Source organism: Homo sapiens, chromosome 13 (genome assembly GCF_000001405.40).
Source record: "Homo sapiens chromosome 13, GRCh38.p14 Primary Assembly".
In the NCBI taxonomy this organism is placed as follows: domain Eukaryota; kingdom Metazoa; phylum Chordata; class Mammalia; order Primates; family Hominidae; genus Homo; species Homo sapiens.
Window position 1 is genome coordinate 59,530,199 of NC_000013.11, and position 23,862 is coordinate 59,554,060.

General features: G+C 39.6%; 1 long non-coding RNA gene across 1 annotated transcript in view; it reads right to left on the minus strand.

Annotated features, from left to right (window-relative positions):
- The window catches only part of LOC107984625 (uncharacterized), a 98,066-nt gene that overhangs the window by 40,129 nt on the left and 34,075 nt on the right, over nt 1-23,862 (minus strand). Inside the window, exon 2 of the long non-coding RNA XR_001749886.2 lies at nt 1,154-1,190. This is a non-coding gene — a long non-coding RNA (uncharacterized LOC107984625). The remainder of the gene's footprint in view (nt 1-1,153; nt 1,191-23,862) is intronic.

A 23,862-nucleotide genomic window follows, 5' to 3' on the forward strand; every position in this document is an offset into this window, starting at 1 on the left:
TCACACAGTGTAATAGGAATAAGAAATACAATGATGAACAAGATAAAGTAAACATGGCTTATTTAGGCAAATGCAATGTGGTCTGAGCCCCAGCCTCATGTATTAGTTAGCTGTTGCCACAGTAATGCTATATAACCATCCCAAATGTCAGTGGCTTACAAGCATTCATTCTCATGCCCATGGGTCTGCAGGTTCTCTATACTTTGCTTGATCTTGGCTAGGCTCCAGTGGGAGGTTCTACTTCAGACTGAAGTTTCTCTGGGCATAGTTCCTCACTGTGAGTTGGGTTCAGGTCAAAGACACTTGTGTGTTAATTCTGGGGCACAGGCTTCTCAGAGCATGCTCTCTGCCTGGTGGATCGCTAGAGCACAAAATGTCAAATACATTAGAAGCCTCTGCCCCATGATGTCCATTAACTTTCCATTGGCCAAAGCAAGTCCCATGACCAAGCTCAATGTCAATAGTGCAGGAAAGGCCTGTTGTAGGAAAGTACTGCAAAGTCACATGATAAAAGATATAGATGTATAATTCTAATATAGGGTTGGTGTCAAGAATTGCAAAAGATGGGCCAGGCACGGTGGTTGACACCTATAATCCCAGCACTTTGGGAGGCTGAGGTGGGCAGATTGCTTGAGTTCAGAAGTTCAAGACCAGCTTGGGCAACATGCTGAAACCTCATCTCTACTAAAAATACAAAAATTAGCCAAGCACGGTGTGCACGCCTGTGGTCCCAGCTACTCAGGAGGCTCAGAAGGTCAAGGCTGCAGTGAGCCAAGATCATACTACTGCACTTCAGCCTCGGCAACAGTGAGACCCTAAGGAAAAAAAAATTGCAAAAGATGACTCAACCTGCTGCAGTAGACTACCTTTTTTTGGTTACAGAATACAGAGTACATTGTACTCTGTAATGTTCCTCTTTAAATACTCATTGCATTTACAAAGAACTGGCTCAGTATTCACTGCGCTAGTCTTCTGTAAGCTTTATAAACATAGTGATCCTGTATGTTTTATTCACTAATTATTCACCAAGTTATCCTTTACACGTAGCAGATGCTCAATAAATTAATATTGCATTAAATTGAATTGGTAAGTGTTATGACCGGGAAATGCAGAGAGCTAATAGATAATGCAGAATAGAGGTTCTTAGTATCACCTGCTCCTTAGAATCAGCTGGGTCCAGTGTGCTGGCTCTGAAAAAAAAAAAGGAAAAAGAATCACCTGGGGAACTTTCACGACTATCTACGTCTGTGCCTCACCCAGAATAATTAAAGCAGAACTTCCTGGTCTAAATTACCAAAAGTGGAGCCTGGGCCTTGGTGTATTTCAAATGCATACAAGGTGATACTGATGTGCAGCCAGGCATGAGAATCACCGACCTGGGGACAACTTACTCAGATTTGGGAAGACTTCCTGAAGGAAGCAGTAGTTAAGCAGAGGCTACGTGTGAACTGTTAAGTAGATACTGGGCCCAGCAGGGGCTGAGGGTAGGTAGGAGGGGTTTGTAACTGAGGAAGTTGACTGTGCAGATGCACTGAGATAAGAGCGAGCTCCTTGCCCTGATGTCAAGATCACAGTATGCTAAGTGAGGTAGAACCTAATAACTGTTACTCTAGGCAGAATTCTTAGATAAAACGACCAGAAAAGCTTAGGATTTCAAGGGAAAACTTCCCGACCAGGAGGCAGAGGTTTCTCAGGAAAGGCTCTGCCCAGTTTGAGTAACTTCCCTTGGCGGCTTGCCAGGGTGAAGCTTTTGTTCAGCACAGCTTTTGCCCGAGTTTATTTTTGTAGCTGCTTTTGCTATGCTGAACTCTTTCCAGCTATTCTTTGTTTATGTAACTCTCTAGGCCGCCATCTAATTTCTAGGATATGACAATCTTTCCACGTAACATTTTTGTTCATGATGACTGCTGACTTATATTTTAATATTAAGCAGGCAGAGTTTTTTTTTCAAATATCAATATAAGAAATATTTATACCAAAAACATTTCCGCTTTTTAAAAATCTGGTCTTCAAGCTACACTTCATGTAGCTCAATATTCTCCTTCTACAGTTCCATATGAATTCATTTCACATTCTTTTATCAGTAAAAGCTTGTTGTTCTTGTCAAAATGACTTACTTTCTTACATTTGATAATGATAAATATTTATCCATCATGTTTTACTTCTTGTCTTATTTTCCAGGAAACTCAAAGCTAAAATTGCAGAATTCAATATTAGCCCAGGTTGGAGAATGTCATTCTCTTTCCTAAAAGATTTTAATTCTTTTCTTTTGTCTTTTGCAACTCTATGTGTGGCTTCTACAGTAATCTACCTTAAATACTTTTTTGAAGCAAGATTACAGATTACCAGGTAAATTACTCAGGCTTATTAGTTGCTACGGCAAATACCAAGACATATGACTCATTCACTGTCCAGGAATTTTCAATCCACTATATATTCAGAGACAAATTTTCTCTACAAATAAATGTGTTAATGAAAGGCTTACAATTTTTAGGCCTCAAATTATCTCTGCAATAGGCCTAAAACTAAACGTGTGTTTTCTTGTACTCTTAGATGTTATAACTATTTTTTATTAAAATTTCTCCAAGCATGTACTGAATATTCTTTTCTAGAAAGACATATGTACAGATATACACCCATGTACAAAGGTAGACCCAGTTGATATTACCACCGTAACATTGTGAAGGCTGACAAATATGAAATGTTTATTTGTAGCAGTTCCATTTGGAAGGTACATGACACTAACAATAAAATAGTAAATGCATAATTGCTGTCTGATGCCTTTTTGCAGCTTTCCAGAGACAATGGCATCAATTGAAATTAAGTAATTTTGAACCCTCTCATTTTGCAAGAGAGAAGAAAATCTAAGAAAACTGAGTACTGTAAGGAAGATATGAATACAGAATTAAGTAAAACAGGGACTTTCCAAAGATAATTAGGCCATTCCAGATCCCAACATAAGGAGTATCTTCCCATCCACCTCCTTCCAATAAAAATCACAATTTTTAAAAACCCTTTAAAAAGTATTTCTTGCCACAGTTCTACCTTCTGAATCCAATTAGCAATTTTATCACTTCATTTTATTAACATCTATTAATCTTGAAAAACATAGAACTGGCATTCTATCGACCTCTTTCTGGTCTGTATTTATAAGGGAGAAAGCTTCTTACTTCTATTTACTAGCATGAAAGAAAAAGAGATTTAAGGCAAGACACTTTGCATAGAAAACTCATAAACTTCCACCTAAATAAGCAGTTATAGAAGAGCAGATGCATCTAGATTGCATTGGTAAACAGTTCTCTGTTATAGACCAATCAATAAAGTTAATGCTAATTGTAATGTACTTTTGTCAAATTGCACTTCGTCTTAATTTCTGATTTATGGCATTTTCCATATAGTACTTCTGAAAATCTAGAGCTTATTGCAATCAGTCGCTGCTAATGGGAGACTGACAGAAGTGAAATAACATTCTAACCTGAGTATTCAGATATCACGTTCAATATTCCTGTTGATTCAGAAAGAACTAATGTTTACTAAGCCATCCCCCACCTGCCCCAGACTTCCTGTAACAGCATAAAATACCAGTGAGTCAAGACCAACAGGTCTTGACCCCAGCCACATTTATAGAAAATACCAGAAGCACTTGTCTCAAGAGATAATATCCTTTACAACTGCCTATAGAAATATTTACAATGCATTGTGGAGTGCATTGATCATTTTGTTCAATAAATTGTGCATTTATAAAATAGAACAAGAATTAAAATTCAATTTTACTATTACAAGTGAATGGTTCTGTGGTTGTTCCTTATATGTCAGGTCCTAGTCCTTGGGACAATAGAAGAACTATAGGATCTATCCCATGTTGTTCTAAAGAAATTGGAAAGTTTCAGAGCTTCCTGCTTCATCTACAGTAGAAGAATCTTATCCTGCCAGATCCTTCTACTACCCAGTATCATGTCAGACTACTGCAAGGCACCAGCTTGTGCTGGGCAGATTTTTCTTTCTCCAATCTTTTCCTCTCTCTCACTCCCTCTCACACTCTCCCTCTTCTTCCCCCTGATCCTTTCCCACTCCCCTCCCCTTCTTCCTTCCCTCCCTGGCTCCCTTTCTTATTCTATTTATAAACTATCTGGTTCTCATTTACCTCTATAAACATTTTTGCCTAGATAATTCACATCCTTTGGGGGGATTAAAAAAACTTAGCAAAATGCCAGGTTCTGTACTAAGACATTTATAGAGGAGAATCTAATAATTTTCTATAGCTGTTCTTCCCAGCATGGTATGAAAATGCATTCAGTAGTTTAATTTTCTTTTCCTTCTTGTTGCCAGAATTATTTATTGCTGAAAATTGAGGAGTTGTATTATAGTTATTATTTCTTTTGATTGGTTTAAAAATTTAGTTTGATAGAAATCTTAAAGAAAAAAAAAACTCACAAAGTTTAAATGTGGTTTGGAAAGGCAACAGAGGGATTTGAAGAGAACAGATCTGATGAAAAAGAAAAATGTTTTAGCATTTTCAACCATCCAGAGTAGAATCATTGAAAATCAGGAAGTCTCAGAAGGAAACTCAACAAAGTAAAAAGGTTTTATAAAAGAATACATAGCTATTTCGAGAGTTGTGTTGGAAAGGATAAGGTGATATTTTTTATCTGAGGCTATAATGAAAAGACCAGAATTACAGGTGCGATGCCTCTGTGGGAATCAAATTTTTTCCATGACAACAAACGAGATTTCCTTCTTGGCTAAACGCCTTGAAAAGATGTGGAAATACAGAACTGATCATACAGAGTTGATTCCATCACAATTTGTGGAAAAACAATATGTAACAAAGGACCAGTGTTACAATGTTAATTGAAAACAGTCCCCACAAAATAATCTGGATGACTAGAGCTGAAAGTTTCCCAGGCTATGGCTATAGACAAATGACAACTGCCATGAAATAAGCAGAATACAGCACAACCTTTTTTTTTTTTCCTCCGATACAGAGTCTCACTCTGGAGTGCAGTGGCATGATCTCGACTCACTGCAACCTCCACCTTCCAAGTTCAAGTGATTCTCCTCCCTTAACCTCCTTAGTAGCTGGGACTACAGGCGTGGGCAACCACTCCAAAATTTTTGCATATTTAGGAAAGATGGGGTTTCACCACTTTGGCCATGGTTGATTTCGAACTGCTGGTCTCAAATGATCCACCCGCCTCGGCCTCCCAAAGTGCTGGGATTACAGACATGAGTCACCACACCTGATCGATTATAGCACAATCTATTCATCCTTACTATCTGTGGAGATTGTTCTACCATCCATTCTGTAGCCATGATTATTGTCAACAGCCTAAGTGAATATGAACGGACAGTATCTTGTGTTGAGGGAAACACACAGGGACTGCAGGTGAGCTTTACCTCCTCTGCTCTTCCACTAACTAGTCAGTTGATGTTGAGGAAGCCCTATAAGCTCCCTGTCTCTTTGCTTCTTATTTTCAAGTAGGAATAACATTTCTGTCTTCTCTACTGCCTTACTGGATTGTTACTATCAAATGATATGAAAGAAGTAGAAGAAGTTTAGAAATATTGAAAACACTTATAAACATACAACATTATTAGTATTCGTTGATCAAAGTTGCCAGAGTTTATTCTCACATTTGCTCTGGGCTTAGCTTTTATAGCAAAATATGCCATTGATAGTAGGTTTATTGTCTTCCAAACTTTATATCAACACATTCTTACTTTAAAAAGAGCAAATTGAGATGGTTTTTGGAAAGGGGGACTTCTCTTTTGTTCTTGTCTTACTGAAAGTGCAAAAGTCCTATGTAGAGTTTAATTTTTAATTTTTGTGAGTACATAGTAAGTGTATATATTTGTGGGGTACATGAGATACTTTAATACAGCCATGCAACGCATAATAATCATATCAGAGGAAATGGGGTAAACACCCCATCAAGCATTTTTCCTTTCTGTTACAAACAATGCAATTATATTCTTTTAGCTACTTTAAAATGTACAATTAAATTATTATTCACAATAGTCACCCTGTTGTGCTATCAAATACTAGGTTTTACTCATTCTATGTTTTTGTACTCATTAACCATCCTCACTTCCCCCCAACCAACCGCCAACAACCCTTCCCAGCCTCTGGTAATCATTCTTCTACTCTATATCTCCATGAGTTCATTCAATCGCTTTGATTTTGATGTTTCCACAAATAAGTGGGAGTTTGATTATAAAATGCCTTTTTTTTTTTTTTTTTTTTTTTTGAGACAGAGTCTGGCTCTGTCGCCAGGCTGGAGTGCAATGACACAATCTCGGCTCACTGCAACCTCCACCTCCTGGGTTCAAGTGATTCTCCTGCCTCAGCCTCCCAAGTAGCTGGGACTACAGGTGTGTGCTACCACGCCTGGCTAATTTTTGTATTTTTAGTAGAGACAGGGTTTCACCATTTTGGCCAGGATGGTCTCAAACTCCTGACCTCGTGATCTGCCCACCTCGGCCTCCCAAAGTGCTGGGATTACAGGCATGAGCCACCATGCCTGGCCTATAAAATCCTTTCAGGTAGTCTTCTTTGGGTTTAATCTTCTTAGTGTTCTACAACCTTCTTGTACTTAAATATGGATACTTTCTCTAGGTTGGAAAGTCCTCTAATATTACCCCTTTGAATAAACTTTTGACCCCTATCTCTTTCTCTACCTCTTTTTAAAGGCCAATAACTCTTAGATTTGCCCTTTCAAGTCTATTTTCTAGACCCTGTAGGCATGCTTTATTGTTTTTTTCTTTTGCCGCCTCTGACTGTGTATTTTTAAATGGCCTGTCTTCAAGCTCGCTAGTTCTTTCTTCTGCTTGATCAATTTTGCTATTAAGAGACTGATACATTCTTCAGTATGTCAAATGCATTTTAGAAACTTTAGAATTTCTGCTTCTTTTTAATTATTTCAATCTATTTGTTAAAATTATCTGATAGAAATCTGAATTCTCTTTCTGCGTCATCTTGAATTTCTTTGAGTTTCCTCAATACAACTATTTTGAATTCTCTGTCTGAAAGGTCACATATTTCTGTTTCTCCGTAACTGGTCCCTGGTACCTTGTTTAGTTCTTTTGGTGAAGTCATGTTTTCCTGGATAGTCTGGATGCTTATAGATGTTCATATGTGTCTTAGCATGAAACAATTGGGTATTTATTGTAGTCTTTGCAGTCTGGGCTTGTTTGTGCCCATCCTTCTTGAGACTTTCTAGATATTCAAAGGAACTTTGGCCCCAAGCCCAGTAATGCTATCATTCCTGCAGACTTATATAGGTACTGTGTTGGTGGTCTTGGATAAGATTCAGAATAATTCTCTGGATTACTAGAGACTCTGGTTCTTTTCCCTTACTTTCTCCCAAACAAATGAAGTCTCTTTCTCTGTGCTAAGCCACCTGGAACTGAGAATGGGGGACACAAGCACCACTGTGGCCACCAACACTGGAACTGCACTGGTTCAGACCTGAAGCCAGCACAGCACTGGGTCTCGCCCAAGGCCTGCCGTAACCACTACCTGGCTACCACCTATGTCCACTCAAGTCCCTAGGGCTCTACGATCAGCAGGTGGTAAAGCCAACCAGGTTTGTGTCCCTTCATTCAGAGTGGTGAGTTCCCCTTGGCCCAGGGAAGGTCCAGAAATGCAGTTTGGAGCCAGGGATTGAAGTCAAAAACCTTAGAAATGCATTTGACATTCTATTCTACTGTGGCTAAGCTAGCACTCAGATCATAGTACAAAGTCCTTTCCCCTCTTCCCTCTCCTTGCTATAGGAAAAGAGGCCTCTCCTTGTGGCTACCACTGCCACTAGCCCACAGGAGAGGTTCACCAGGCCACCACTGATATTCACTTAAGGCCCAAGGGCTCTTCAGCTTGTAGTGAATGCTGCCAGAGCTGGCACTCACCCTTCAGAGCTGTGGGCTCCCCTCTGGTTGAGGGCGGGTCCAGAAATGCTGTCCAGGAGCCTAGACCTAGGCTTGGGAACCCCAACAGCCTGTTTGGTACCCTATCCAGCTGCGGTTGAGCTGGTACTTAAAGTGCAAGACAAAGTCTCCTTTATCTTTCCCTCTGCTTTTCTCAAACAGAAGGGGCCTTTCACCATAGCCACCATAGCTGGGAATGTGCTGGGTTACATCTGAAGCCACCGCATCTCAGAGTCTCACTTAAGGCCCATGGCACACTCCCTGGGTATTGCTGATTATTCAGGGCCCAAGAGCTCTTTAGGCAGCAGGCTCCCTTTTGGTCCAGGGAGTGTTTCAAAATGTTGTTCATGAGCTAGGGCCTGGAATGGGGACCTCATGACTCTGCCCCGTGCCCTACAGTGGCTGAGCTGGAATATAACATGCAAGACAAAGTCCTCTTTACTATTTGCTCTCCTCTCCTAAAGCAGAAGGGAAGAGTCACTTTCATTTGCTGCAAGCTGCACTACCTAGAGTTGGGGGAGGGGTGGCACAAGAACTTCCTTAGCCTCCTCATCTGGTATCTCCCTAGATCACGTGCCACATGGCTAGGTCACATGCCACTAGGAGTTGCCTAGGAATCAGTGTGTCCTAGGACTGCCTTTCAAGTTTACCTAGGACCCAAGGCCACTTTGGCCCATGGTAGTGACGCTTGCTAAGAAACTCAACTTCCAACCACTGGGATGGGTGATTTCCCTCTGGCTAGTTCTGGTCCAAATGCTCCCTCCGTGTTTGGGCACCAGCTGAGCACAGCAGGGCTCTGTTCTCCACTGTGACAGGGCAGCACTAAGTTCAATGCAAAGTGCCCCAGTCACTGCGCTTTCCCTCCCCCAAGTGCATAGACTCTCTCTCCACACCACATGGCCACTGCCAGAGGATGGGAGAGGGGTGGCATTATTGATTCAAGACTTTTCTACCCTCTTCAGTGCCTCTTTCAGCATGAAAAGTTAAAACCAGGTACTGTCATTGCTCACCTGATTTTTGGTTCTTGTGATGGTGCTTTTTTGTGTGTAGTTAGTTGTTAAAATTGAGTGTTCCTGCTGTGGGGGATGAAGAGCAAAGGCTTCTATTCAGCCATTATGCTCCACCGTCTCCTATTGGACAGATTTTTATTTTCAGTATTCAGCAGACTTTGGAAAGAAGTTCAAATTCAGAGGCAACTTTTAAGTCCCCTTCGCAAGTTTTCATTGGTGATGTTAACACAATATTATACCACCTGCATTGATAAAGTCTTGATATTCCCTTACATTCATGTCACATGCACATTGCAGTTAGAGAGAAAGCAATACTTCCTGGGAAAAGCGAGCTGGTGTGGCTTCCTGAAAAAAGCCACCTTGATGTAGTTACCAAGGGTATGGTCTTAAATATGGAGATTGGAGAGTCAATAGTCAGTACATCCAGAGTTAATCAAGCACAGGGAAATAACTCACACCAACCCAATTCACAAGTCTGACATTAAGGAATCCAGAATGCCAATGTATTCACTTATGATAAAAAATATAAGGCTCCATTGATGGATCTGGGCAGGCCAAGGCTCACTGGAAAGTTACCTGATGGATATAGAATTAGAAGCTTATTGCCTGAGCCAAACGGCTGCTGTGGTCAAGTCACCAGAGTACTGAGCAATATGTGTGCTGCACAGGCCAGGTCCTTGGGCCCACAGCTCAGGACAACCAGTCTTCTGGACATAGCTAGAGATGGAAAGTCTATATTTTTCCACTGTGCCCTGCCATACTGTTGATCAATCAGCTTTAAGACTTTTTAAATTTCCTTTTGCCATAAAAATACTTTTTCCTTCAAGTTTGGCCTAGATGGAAGATATTCTGCCTTTTTTAAGATAATCATATATCTTTGCTCTGATATGTTAAATGTTTGTTTTATAGAAACACTTGGTGGATAATCTGATTTTTATGTCCAGATTATTGGGCTGCACCTCATTGTTGTCCCAGGTAACATCGGCAACAATTCTTCTTCACATCTCCTGAGCTTTTCCTACACTCTTAAACTTCTAGGCCTTTGAGCATGGTTTGGGTTGGAGTGTCACCATAATCAATAAACTCCTGTGATACTTCAGTGCACCTTTAAAAGTTCATTTCTCTGTGCATACTGGGTAGGCAGAGGCTGGTGTTCACTGTAAAAGAGCTACTTCGCCAAACTCAGTTATATTGTAGGGCTTAAGTCACTTTGCTTGGGTAGCCTTTCTCTCCGATGGAGAAAAATAGAGTAGAGCATCCTGTTTATTTTGTAAGAGACACAACATTGATACAAATTTCCAAGGAACCATTCTAGTTCCCTGGTCAAATAGTAGCTGTGGGGCCTCCTCTTGGCTAGGAGGATTTAATTACACCAAATTTTAAAAGTTGCATTTTATCAAATAAAAATGTTATGTCACTGATTATTGTAACACTTTGAGATTCAAGGAGCTACTCCAACCCAGCCACAGTGAGCTACATTTGTAATTGCGGCTGGCATTTACTGAGAGCTTTCTATGTGCAAAGAAGTGTATTAAGCATTTTGCATGCATTTTTTCATTTATTCCTCACCGTGAACTTACGATGTGGGTGGTTTTAATTATTCCCATTTTATAGTTGAGGAGACTCATGATAAGAACAAACACATGCTAAGAGGCAAAGCCAGGACGTAAACCTACTGGTGAAATCTGAAACAGTATAGTGACAAAGGAGTCTTCCATTTCCAACAGGTTTTGTTTTTCACATGGTACTGGTCTCTATAGTATACCTAATCCTCATTGCAAAGATGGGTCTAGATGTTCTACAATTGCTAAGCATTTTGGCAAGATCTGTGCAAATAAAAGGTTAGGAAACGTAGAAACGTAGACTGTTGATATAGAAATTGTGCCAGGCACTCCCTGGATCTGCTATGGTTCCCAATAGATGACTTTCTTAGCTGCCACAGAGCCATAAATGAAGCGCTGGGATCTACCGTTCAATGCTTTGAGCCCTGTGAGGATAGTGTCACACAACTGGGAAGTAATAAGATTTGAACTGAAAAAGGAAAAAAGACATAATTTTTTAAAATGTCTTATGTTTTTAGAAAACTCATAGTTTCCTCATAATTTCCAGAATATTAGATGTTTGCTGGTTGTATATACAGTCATACATCACTTGACTAGGGGTGTAGGTTCTGAGAAATGAATCATTAGGTGATTTTGTCATTGTGTGAACATTACAGAGTGTACTTACACAAGCCTAAACGATATGGCCTACTATATACCTAGGCTATATGGCATAGCCTATTGTTCCTAGGCTACAAACCTGTACAGCATGTACTGTACTGAATACCGTAGGCAATTGTACACAATGGTATTTGCATATCTAAAGATATCTAAATATAAAAAACATACAATAAAATACAGTTATCTTATGGGACCATCACTATATATGTGGCCTGTCATTGACCAAAACGTCATTATGCAGTGTCTGACTATATTCACATTTTAGCCCATGTAGGGCTCATGTAGCAACACAGTTGTACCCCTGAGAGCCCCAAAGAGAGAAACTTCTACCTAACCCAATCTCATAGAGACAGCAAATTTTTTTTTCCTTCTAGAAAACAAATAGTTTCCATCATAAATGGACCATAATCCCTGGAAGTATTACCGTATCTTCATTCACACTATTTGATGAGCCAAAGGAAGGTATTGTGTAGGCTATCACCAGCTCCCACTGGGGGACTCAGCCAGCTGTAATATCTAAACACAACTACCGTTCACAGTGTCCTTCTGTCTATTCAAAAACATGTATCTGGCACCTACCATATGCTGGCTACTTTGCTATCAACCGTCAGTGTTTTATGTTTTACAAATATATCCAAGCACTAAAAATCATTTGGCCAGTGTAAAAATTTTAGACCTATGTTTTAATATGTATATGACTTGTCACTTAGTCAAATGAGTGCTCTGATGTGTAATTTGAACAGGGGAAGTATGCCTTTTAGAATCAGAGGACACTCAACCTTTGAAACCAGTTGTTTTTTTCTCTCTCTTCCTTGTCTGTCCTTCCCCCAAATCTATCTTCAGGTCACCTTCTCTCATCCCCTACACACAAGCACACACTTAATCATAAACAAATCTGTAGTGTAGCTACTCACATGGCTACTTCATCATTAAAATCTATTACTTCACAGCACCTTATGGTGATAATAGGATTTTCCCCCCTCACCCTTTGATTAATACTTGTTCAACATCTCTCACACATGCCTACCCAAGAAACTCTTTCCAGGGGAGGAAACAAAATTACACCCTCTTTAACAATGATCCAGCAGAGAAAATGAGATTGCCCAACACATTATAACTTCCATTCAGCAAAGCCACATGTTCCCTCTTGAGAAAGGATGTAAAATGAGCTGCCAGCTAAAAACTCCTAAAGAATGTCACAATTACAACTTTTCACTGGTGCTCCCAGTGACAGTACTTCTGACCTAAGACAACTGAGACACACAGATTTACTCCTAAGTCTGCTCATTAGCCTAATGAGGATGGAGTCAGGCAAAGAGTTAATTTGACTAATTTAATCAACATGCCCTTCAATGTATCTACTGGGAGAACACCAAAGTGATGGAGACAAACACAGAAACACACAGAGGAAAGGGGATTTACTGAGCTGTACTTGTGATTAGGCAGAGTCACAGTTTGAAAACATAATGGAATCAAAGCTGGAAAGAACCTTAATGATTGCTTAAGCCAATCACATCATTTTATAAGGTCTAGGGAGGTTAAAAAATCATTATAAATATAAGATGTATTGTAAAATGAGTAATAAATGAGAAAACATTTATAAATCGTAAACTGCTACTATGTATGCACATTAAATTGTTTCCCCAAAACAACATAGAATTTAAACAGTAGATACATTGTTATGTATTTTCATAAAACAAATATTATACATAAGTTTCTTCTCCTCCTCCCCCCAAACCTCTGATTCTTTAGCTATGTTAACACACTTCAGTAACTCACCTGATACAGATAAATTTAAAGTTATTATTTTAAAAAATTATTCAAACTTTTTCTGCACTTGTAGACTCTAGAAAAATAAAGCATTGATGGGTGTTATTTGAGGATGAATACAAATTTTAGTTTTACCAAAATTAAGGATTTTTAGTTAATACTTAGTGTGAATGATTTATGTTTTTGATAAATGGTTTTCGATTTCTTAGAAATTCCACCTTAAAAAGAGTAACATAAAATATCTATTTAATATTGGCAGTACTTCTGACAGCATGCCTTGATCTTACAATTAGAGATTACGGCACAATTACCCCTCAGATTCAGTAATTCTAAGAGAGTTGATTGAGGGTTTTTCTGGACAATGGTATGTCATTTGCATTGATTATTTCATTATATTAATTTTCTCATCACTTTTCCTTTTTTTTCATTTGAGCACTATTAAGGAAGTTTTTTTCAACTGGCTCAAGCCTAAGGGGATATAAAAGAAAATGAATGGGGTATTTCCTGTTAAAGACAAGCAAGCAAGCAAGGAAGGAAGGTAGGTAGGAAGCAAGGAAGGAAGGAAGGAAGGAAGGAAGGGAGGGAGGGAGGGAGGGCAGAAGGAAGGAAGGAAGAGAAAGAAAAAGGAAGAGAGAGAGAGAAAGAAAACAAAAGAAAAAAGAGAAAAGAAAGGCTTATGGGGATACTAAGCCTTATAGCTATAAATTGATCCTGTTATTTTTTCCTTGATGGTAGATTGTAGAATTAAAATAGTATGGGAAAATTTATAGTTTGAGATTGAGTCTTTTAAGAAATGGATCTTTTGTAATGTCCCTTCTATTTGAATGATACTGCCAGTATTGCAACACTCAGACCAGACAGGGCCTAATATTTCCTTTCTGTAAGTTTCCTTAAAAATAATTCTTCTCCATTTTCAATTATTAATAGAGATCTGATTATGTCTACTAGGTATAAAGTTTATGCTCTTGCAGCAGACAAACATTAAATAAATTAACACATAAATATGAGTATAAAATACAAGTATAATAAAGGAAAAGAATGGTGTTCTATGATAGAAAAAAAAGGATAACCCAATTTGTATGTGTCATCAGGGAAGGCCTCTCTGAGAACCGCGAAGAACAGAGACAAGTTAGGTGAGAAAAGGAGAGAGAGTGGACAAAAGTAACAGTATGCAAAAGATCCTGAAGCAGGAAAGACCTTGGTGAGTTCAAGGACTATCAGTCAAGGTCAGCATAGCTGGAATAAAGGAAAACATGGCCCAGGATGAGGCTGGAGAGGTGGCCGGTGTCCATATGGGAGAAGGTTGAAGAGTGAATGGGGAACTTGATATAGAATGGTAATGGATGGAATGCAGGATCGAATTCCTCTGCCCCCTTCCAAATACCCATTACAAAATGACAGAGAGTAATTTTTTTATGAAAGGCATAAATCCCCAAGAACAAAAAGATGCAGGTGAAACAATAGAATCCTTAGAGTTTGAAAAGCATGTCAAAAGTGGTTTTATCAAATCCGAGAAAACCACAGTGCAGAAAGCTGAGAAGTTACCCAGTTTACCAATTTACCTGGTGAAATGGGGGAAGGGAAGGCTAAAAACAAAAGGACTGGTTAAAAATGCCATTCAAGGAGCACTTAAACTGTACCGGTCAGGAAGGAAGGAATATAATATGGAGAATTACCACTTAATTGGAAAGACTGGAGAAGCACAAGTCAGGGAAAGCCATGGCTACTCCTGAGATTTGTCAGCTATCAGAGAGTCAGGAAGTTGCAAGAACTTCAGAAAATGTCAGAGATGACTATAGCTATCTGAAGCATCATAGCAGAGGATTTGCAAAGAAACACCCTGAGGCTGCTGGAAAATTTCATTTTTGCTGAAATCTGCAAAATTGCCTACTGCTGCTAAAGGCAATAATATAGTTTGTGCCTTTCTTATGCCTTCCAAATCTTGAGGTGTACCTCTCATTGTCAGACTTCAATCCAGAGCATGACCAGCAAATGACTCTGGGAACACAGTTCCTGGTCTTCCAGCCCCTGAAATATGAGAGGGGATAGAAGAGGCATGATGGCAGGGGGAACAGGGGGAGTAAAGGAGCTGTGCTGCCATCTGTCAGTCCAGCAGAGAACACTTCCTGGACCCCATTCCTCATTTGTCAGACTGGGTAATTGCCCCTCCCTGGTGCAGGATGATGAGGTATAAAACAGATGATCTCTAAAAACCAGAACAGTAAACTCAGTTGATGGCGGGGGTTACAGATCTTAAAACAGGGCAGTTAAGAGAAAATGAACATATTAAATGTTCGGACCTTGTAGCTCTCTTCCCCCATCAACTCCTGTAGGTGTTAGCCAGCTTTTTACCTTCCAGGCCAGATATTGGAAGAGCTTTCCCTAGAGAATCTGACCAACCCAAGAAAAAAGACCTAAGAAATACTGATATCTTTCTCCAAAAAAGACCATGTCAAATCACTATATAGAGAAGCTCACAGTGGCAAACCAACTCATGGGTATAAATCTTTAAACAACGATTTAATGCCCCACATTAGATATAAGCCAAATATCGCCAACATTTGAGAAAGGCAACAGATACAAATATCAGAGCCCAAAACAAACAAAACTCATGGAATACAGACATCATACGGGACAGAGGAAAAAATCAAAAAGGAAAACTATTATTAACTATCCTCAGGGAAGAAAAGGAATATTTTGATACACAAATAGGATGCTTTTTAGGGGCTGGTGTAGGGGGGAATTAAATATGACAGCAAAACTAGAAATCTTAATAGAAACTTTAGAAAATAGTTACAAAAATATTTCAGAAATTAGAGTAAAAAGACAAGTTAAAAAATTATTTTAAGAGAATAAAATAGAAGATGTCTTAAATAATAGAAACCATAAAAAGAAAGAAATGAGGAAATTATAAGAGGAGGAGGAGAAAGTATAGTGGAAATAATTCAAGATAATATACCAGAAATGAAGGATATTGCACTCAACACAATAAAAAAACATGGACCCACACCAAGCTACATTAAAACACTGGGACAAAAAGAAACTCTTACAAACTTCTAAGAAAGAAACAAACCCAGCACTTATAGAAGAGATTGAAAACCTTTTCTGTACAAAAACAACAACAACAACAGGTTATAACTATTTTAGGCTTTTGGGGCCATAGAGTCTGTCAGAACTACCCAGCTCTGCTCTTGTAGCATGAAAGACAACAATAGAAAACATGTAAATAAATGAGCATGGCTGTGTTCCAATAAAACTTTATTAAGAAAAATAGACATTGTGCTGCATTTGTCCTGTGGGCAGTAGTTTGCTAACCTCTGACTTACATAAAGAATCAAGAATCAGAATGGTGCCAGACTTGAAATAAACTGAAGACTAGATGACTTGTGCAACGTTGATAAAATTCTGAAGGAAACTTATCTTTATCATTCTATTCCCAGCCATATTATCAAACAAACATGAGGGGTGACTATCTCCCTTTATCTCCCATTGGCCTTTTCTCAGGAAGCTGACCAACAGTGGTCTTCATCAAAATCAGAAAATAAAATAAAGACAAGGGATCATAAAACTAGGAATTAGTTTCCATTTCTTGGATCTACAGACTATTTCAAAGCAAAAGACAAAGTCTATAAGTCACTCAGTATAGGCCGGGCGTGGTGGCTCATGCCTGTAATCCCAGCACTTTGGGAGGCCAGGGCGGGCGGATCACGAGGTCAGGAGATCGAGACCATCCTGGCTAACACAGTGAAACCCCATCTCTACTAAAAATACAAAAAACTAGCCGGGCGTGGTGGCATGCACCTGTAGTGCCAGCTACTCAGGAGGCTGAGGCAGGAGAATCACTTGAACCCGGGAGGCAGAGGTTGCAGTGAGCCAAGATTGCGTCACTGCACTCTAGCCTGGGCGAAAGAGCGAGACTCCACCTCAAACAAACAAAAAAACCCTAGGAATTAGGTTCCATTTCTTGGATCTACAGATTATGTCGAAGCAAAATACAAAGTCTACAAGTCACTCAGTATAGAGGACAAGTGCTCTAGATTGAAGCAGATCATTCAGCTCTGGTAGAAACTGCTTTAAGAAGATAAAATTATAGCAACATCAGCAAGATGGCCACGTAGAAGCCCTTAGAGCTTCTCTTTCCAGCAAAGACAGCCAAAACAACAAATAAACAACTAGATTTTAATGAAAATAGCAAAAGGAAAGTGCCACAGTACATCAAAGTAGTAACAGAAACTCTGATGAGCACAGAAACTCAGAATAACCATACAGAGAGCAAAAGAAAACAACTGGGCCTCCACCATCCCATCCCCCAGATGGGAACCAGAAGGAACTTCTCCCTTCAGGAAAAAGGTAAGCAAGAGAGTCCCAGCAGCCCCATCAATACCTGGAACACCTGCAGTCCTCTCCACTGGGGTCCCCTGCAGTCCTCTCCACTGGGGTCCCCTGCAGTCCTCACAGACACTAAGCCCAGCTAAGAGAGATACCTGGAGTCTACATAGCTGTGCTCCTTCAGAGAAGGAGCCAGCACTGTGCCCCACTCCCTGTGGCCACCTGGCTACTCTGCTATGCCATCTTGGAACTGAAACTGCCACTGGAGTATATCCTGCTCTGGGGGCAAGTGCTCATGGCACCCCTTAATCCCTGAGGCTAAAGCCCCACTCAATGGCCCAACAATTCCAAACTGAGCTACAACCAGCTGTTACACCCATCCCTGTGTGACAAACTAGGGGTGGAGCCACTCTACCTACCTCTCTCAGAGTGCCCAGGTGCAGCCTGCCTGCTCAGGCCAAAGCTGAAGCTGAACACTCCTTCCTAGGGAAATGGTGCCTTGGCAGAGCTACTTCATCTACCCATCTCAGTTGCTGCTGCACCTTGCACTTGGGAAATGGTGCTAAAGCTGCCCACTCTCTCTGAAAGAAAGGATGCCTTGGCAGAACAACTCCATCTACCTCTCCCAGTTGCTGTGGCACCCTGCCCCTAGGGGGCTAAGCTGAAGCTGCACACTGCCTCCTGGAGATATGGTGCCTTGGCAGAGCTGCTTCAAATACCTCTCCTAGTCACTGCTGCACCCTGTACCCCTGTGCTGGAAATGAAACAATATCAGTCATCCTGGGATGGTGCCTTGGCTACCCAGAGCACAGAAACTCAGAATAACCACACAGAGAATGCAAGGACCTTTCTGTGCCTGAGCTGAAGCAATACTCTGCCTCCTGAGAAAGCAGCGCCTTCACTGCCCAGAGCAGTCACACCTTCCCAGTGCCTAAATTGATGCAGTGCCTTAAATCCCAGGGAAACAGTGCCTGGGCCATTTAGAATAGTCATGCCTTCTGGGCCTGAGCTGAAGAGGCACATTTTCCCCTGGGGAGGGAGTACATGGGTCAAACTGAGCAGCTGCACATCCAGGGCTGAGCTGAGATAGTACTGTGTGTTCCAGGGAAACAGAAGAAGCTAAGCCAAGACACCCCACCCTACAGGCCAAACAACTCAAATATCCCGCTTCCCTGGAGTTGGACTAGTTCCCTAGAGTCTGAACTGCTGAGACACCCATCTCCCCAGAGAGTGGGCTCATCACTATGTTATTCCATGCCACCCAGCAACCAAACAACAGGTGGGTTCCACCATTCTGGGATACTTGTACCTGGATTCACAGTCTGAAATACAGCCAAGGCCTGCCATCCCAAGGGCTAAAGGCATGACTACACAGTGTCCGTCCTCTGGAACCCGAATTGCCACTGAGCCCTATTGGCTCAGGTTCCCAAATTGCAGCTATACTCTGGTCTCTGAGCTCAAACATCCAGAGAACCCCTTCTTTCTCAGAGTTAGAACAGTCCTGTGCCCTGTCTCCCAAGGGTAGAATCACAAATGGGCCCCTGGGCCCAAGCTGCTAGGGGGTGCCTCAGAGTCACAGGTCCTGGCTGTGGGCAACCTATGTCCAACACTGCCACAGAGAGAAAAGCTATGCCCTAAGACTCTGGTGCTGCAATATGTGAGACTTTAAGCCTAGGACTCCAGCCCCACAGATGCTCTGGGCATATGCACCTGGAACCCACAACCACTGCAGCCACCTGTAGGACATGTCAGACTTGACATCAAGAAGGAACCATTCAGCTTATTGTAGAGAAAATGAGAATAGGAAGACCCCAGAAGCCCTTGCTCCTGAGGACCTTAACAACCTATGCCACTCTACAGCTTCCAAAATTCTACAGCCTAGGCCACTGAAGTACCTACAGTTACTGCTGATGTCAAACACAACTAAAGAAGCTGCAGGGAGACTATACCACTGTATATATCTGGAAGCAGATTTACCACATCCTTTTCAAATAGCACACTAAGACTCATCTCCAGGTGAAAGTCTTTACTTATGAAAATCACTCTAGAAGTTTGAAAAAGGCAATTGTTCTTTTTGTTGTTGTTGTTCTTTTTTTTTTTGAGACGGAGTCTCACTCTGTCACCCAGGCAGGAGTCAGTAGCACGACCTCGGCTCACTGCAAGCTCCACCTCCCAGGTTCACGCCATTCCCCTGCCTCAGCCTCCCAAGCAGCTGGGACTACAGGCGCCTGCCACCACACCTGGCTAATTTTTTGGTATTTTTAGTAGAGACGGGGTTTCACCGTGTTAGCCAGGATGGTCTCGATTTCCTGACCTCATGATCTGCCTGCCTCAACCTCCCAAAGTGCTGGGATTACAGGTGTGAGCCACCGTGCCCAGCCGAAAAAGGCAGTTGTTCTACGAGATTCACAGGCATCAATGCAAGAACACAAAAAAATTGAAAAAGAAAAAAAAAAAAACTGACAGTACCAAAGGAACACCATAACTCTCTAGTAGCAGACCCTGATGAAAAGGAAATTTTTGAATTGCCAGAAGAGGAATTGAAAACAATAATCATAAGGAAATTTAGTGAGATAAAAGAAAATACAGATAAACAATTCAATGAAATAAAACACTTTATGATATGAATGAGAAATTTAACAGAGATAGGTTATCATTAAAAAGAAACAAACAGAAATCCTAAGCTGAAAAATGCAATAAATGAAACCAAAATAAAGAGCTTCAACAGCAGACTTGAACAAGCAGAAGAAAGAATCTCTGAATATGAAGAAAGGTCATTTGAAATTATCTAGCCAGAGATTTTAAAAAAAAAGAAGAAGAATGAAAAGGAGAAAACAAGACTTATGGGACATTATTAAGTAAACAAATATTTAAATTTTGGTAGTCACTGGAAGAGAAGAGATAGAAATAGGCATAGAAAACCCATTAAATAAAAAAGTAGCTGAAAACTTTCCAAGTCTTGGGAGAGATAAGGACATCCTGATTCAGGAAGCTCAAAGTCCCCAGATAGAGTCAACCTAATAAGGTCCTTTCTGAGGCATGTTATAGTCAAACTGTCAAAATTAAAAGACATAGAGAAGGTTCTAAAAACAGCAAAGCAAAGCATCAAGTCACATATAAGGAAATCACAACTAAACTAACAGCAGATTTCTCAGCAGAAAACTTACATATCAGGAGAAAATGAGATGATATGATCAGAGTGCTGAAAGGAAAAAAATTGTCAATCAAGAATACTATGCCAAGCAAAGCTATCCTTCAAAAATGACAAAGAGATACAGTTTTTCCCAGACAATGAAAAACTGAGAGAATTCATAACCACTAGACCAACTTTACAAGAAATGTCCAAGAGAATCCTAAATCTGGAAGCCAAAAGATAATTATCACTATCATGAAACACACAGAAGTATAAAACTCGCTGGTACAGCAGATACATAAAGGAGAAAGAGAAAAGAACAAAACCTGATAACTACAGAAAATCACCAAACTGCAACCATAAACAATAAGATACGAAGAAAGAAACAAAGAATATATAAAACAACCAGAGTAACAATTAACAAATTGACAGAAGTAGACCCTCACCTGTCACTAACACCCTTTAATGTAAATTGATTAAATTCCCCACTTAAAAGATATAGACTGGCAAAATTGATATTTTAAAACATACTTTTTGGCTGGGCATGGTGACTCATGCCGGTAATTCCAGCACTTCAGGAGGCTGAGGTGGGCAGGTTACTTGAGCTTGGGCATTCAAGACCACCCTGGGCAATATGGTGAAACCCTGTCTTTACAAAAAATACAAAAATTAGCCAGTCATAATGGCATGCACCTGTGGTCCCAGCTACTTGGGAGACTGAGGTGGGAGGATCACTTGAGCCCTAGAGGTGGAGGTTGCAGTAAGTGGAGATTGTGCCACTGCACTCCAGCCTGGGTGACAGAGTGAAAGCCTGTTTCAAAAAAAAAAAAAAAAAATTCCCAATTGTACACGCCTATAAGAAACTTACTTCACCTATACATACATAGACTGAGAGTGAAGAAATAGGAGAAGATATTCCATGCAAATGGAAAGCAAAAGAAAGCAGAAGTACCTATACTTATATCAGATAAAAGACTTTAAGTTAAAAACTGTAAAAAGAGACAAAGAAGGTTATTATATAATGATAAAGGCATTAATCCAGCAAGAGCATATAACAATTGTAAATTTGTATGCACCCAACATCAAAGCACCCAGTTACATAAAGCAAATATTAGATCCATATAAAGGGAGAGATAGATTCTAATACAATAATTGTTGGAGACTTCAACACCCCCCTCTCAGCATTGAACAGATCATTTAGGCAAAAAAATCAACAACAACAAAAAAACATTGGATTTAAAATGGAAACATTGCATTTAAAATGTATTTAGACCAAATGGACATAATAGACATTTAGAGAACTTTTCATCCAAGGGTTACAGAATACATTATTTTCATCAGCTCATGGAAATTCTCCAGGATAGATCACATCTTAGGCCACAAAACAAGTCTCAACAAATTTAAAAGAACTGAAATCGTATCAAGTATCTTTTCAGACCACAATGGAATAAAACTGGAAATCAATAACAAGAGGAATTTTTGACATTGTACAAACACATGGAAACAAATGAAAATAGAAACACAAATTGCCAAACCTATGGGATACAGCAAAATAAATATTAAGAGGGAAGTATATAGCAATAAACTCCTAAATCAAAAAAGGGAAAGGTTTCAAATGAACACACACAGATGATGTAGCTTAAGGAACTAGAAAAGTGAGAACAAACCAAATCCAAAATTAATAGAATGAAATAAATAACAAATATCGGAGCAGAAACAAAATTGAGACTTAAAAAACAACACAGAAGATTTTTTTTGTTTTTTTCTGAAAAGATAAACAAAATTGATAAATCATTGGCTAGACTACCCCAAAATAAAAAAGACCCAAATAAATAAGAGAAATTAAAACTAATACTACAGATACATAAAGGATCATTAGATACCATTACAAGCAACTATACACCAACAAATTGGAAAACCTAGTAGAAATAAATAAGTTTCTGGATACATAGAACCTACCAAGATTGAACCATGAAGAAACAGAAAACCTGAAAAGATTGATTCTGAGTAACAAAGTTGAATTAATAATAAAAAGTCTTCTGTAAAAGAAAAGCCAAGGACCTAATGGCTTTACTGCTGAATTCTACCAAACTTTTAAGGAAGAACTAATACAAATTCTTCTCAAATTCTTCCAGAAAATTAAAGAGGAGAGAATTCTTCCTAACTCATTCTACAAGGCCTGCTTTATCCTGATTGCAGAACCAGACAAGGATACAACAACCAAAACCGAAAACTGCTGATGAACTGATATCCCTGATTAACATAGATGCCAAAATTCTCAACAAAATAGTAACAAACTGAACCCAACATCAATCAAAAAAATAAGATGCCATGACCAAGAAGAATTTATCTCAGGGATGCAAAGATAGCTCAACATATGCAGATCAATAAACATGATACATCGTATTAACAGAATCAAGGACAAAAATCATATAATCATCTCAACAGATGCAGAGAAAGCTTTTGATAAAATTCAACATCCCTTTATGATAAAAACTGTCAACAAGTTAGGTATACAAGGAATATACTTAAACACCATAAAGGCCATATATGACAAACCCACACTTAACATAATACTGAATAAGGAAAAGCTTTCAAGCTAAAACAAGACAAGGATCCCCATCTCACCACTCTTATTCAGTACAGTAATAGAAGTCCTAGCCAGAGTAATTAACAAAAAGGAAAGAAATAAATGGCATCCAAATTGGAAAAGTCAAATTTTCTCACTTTGCAGATGATATGATTTTATATATAGAAAACCCTAAAAACTTCAAAAAATTCCTAGAACTGATAAACAAATTCAGTAAGGTTGCAGGATACAAAATCAATATGTGAAAAAAAAAGTAGCATTTCTACACACTAACAAAAAACTGGCAGAAAAACAAAACAAACAACAAAAAAGAAATCTCATTTATAATACCTACAAAATACTAATAAAATACCTATGAATAAATTTAACCAAGGAGATGAACAATCACTGACTGGAAAACTATAAAACACTGATGAAGTTAATGGAAGAGGATGCACAAAAATGAAAGACATCTCATGTTCATGGATTAGAATAATTAATATTGTAAAAAATGGCCACACTGCCAAAAGCTATCTACACAATTAATACAATCTCTATCAAAATACCAATGATACTTGTCAAAGAAATATTTTAAGATTTTTTTTCTTTCTTTTTTTTTTTTGAGATGAAGTCTCACTCTATCACTCAGGCTGGAGTGTAATGGCACAATTTTGGCTCACTGCAACCTCCACCTCTCAGGTTCAAGCAATTCTCCTGCCTCAAGCCTTCCAAGTAGCTGGGATTACAGGCATGCACCACCACGCCCGGCTAATTTTTGTATTTTTAGTAGAGACAGGGTTTTGCCATGTTGGCCAGGCTGGTCATGAACTCCTGACCTCAGGTGAAGACTCCAAATAGCCAAAGCAATTCTGAGCAAAACTATAACAACAACAACAAAACCAAAGG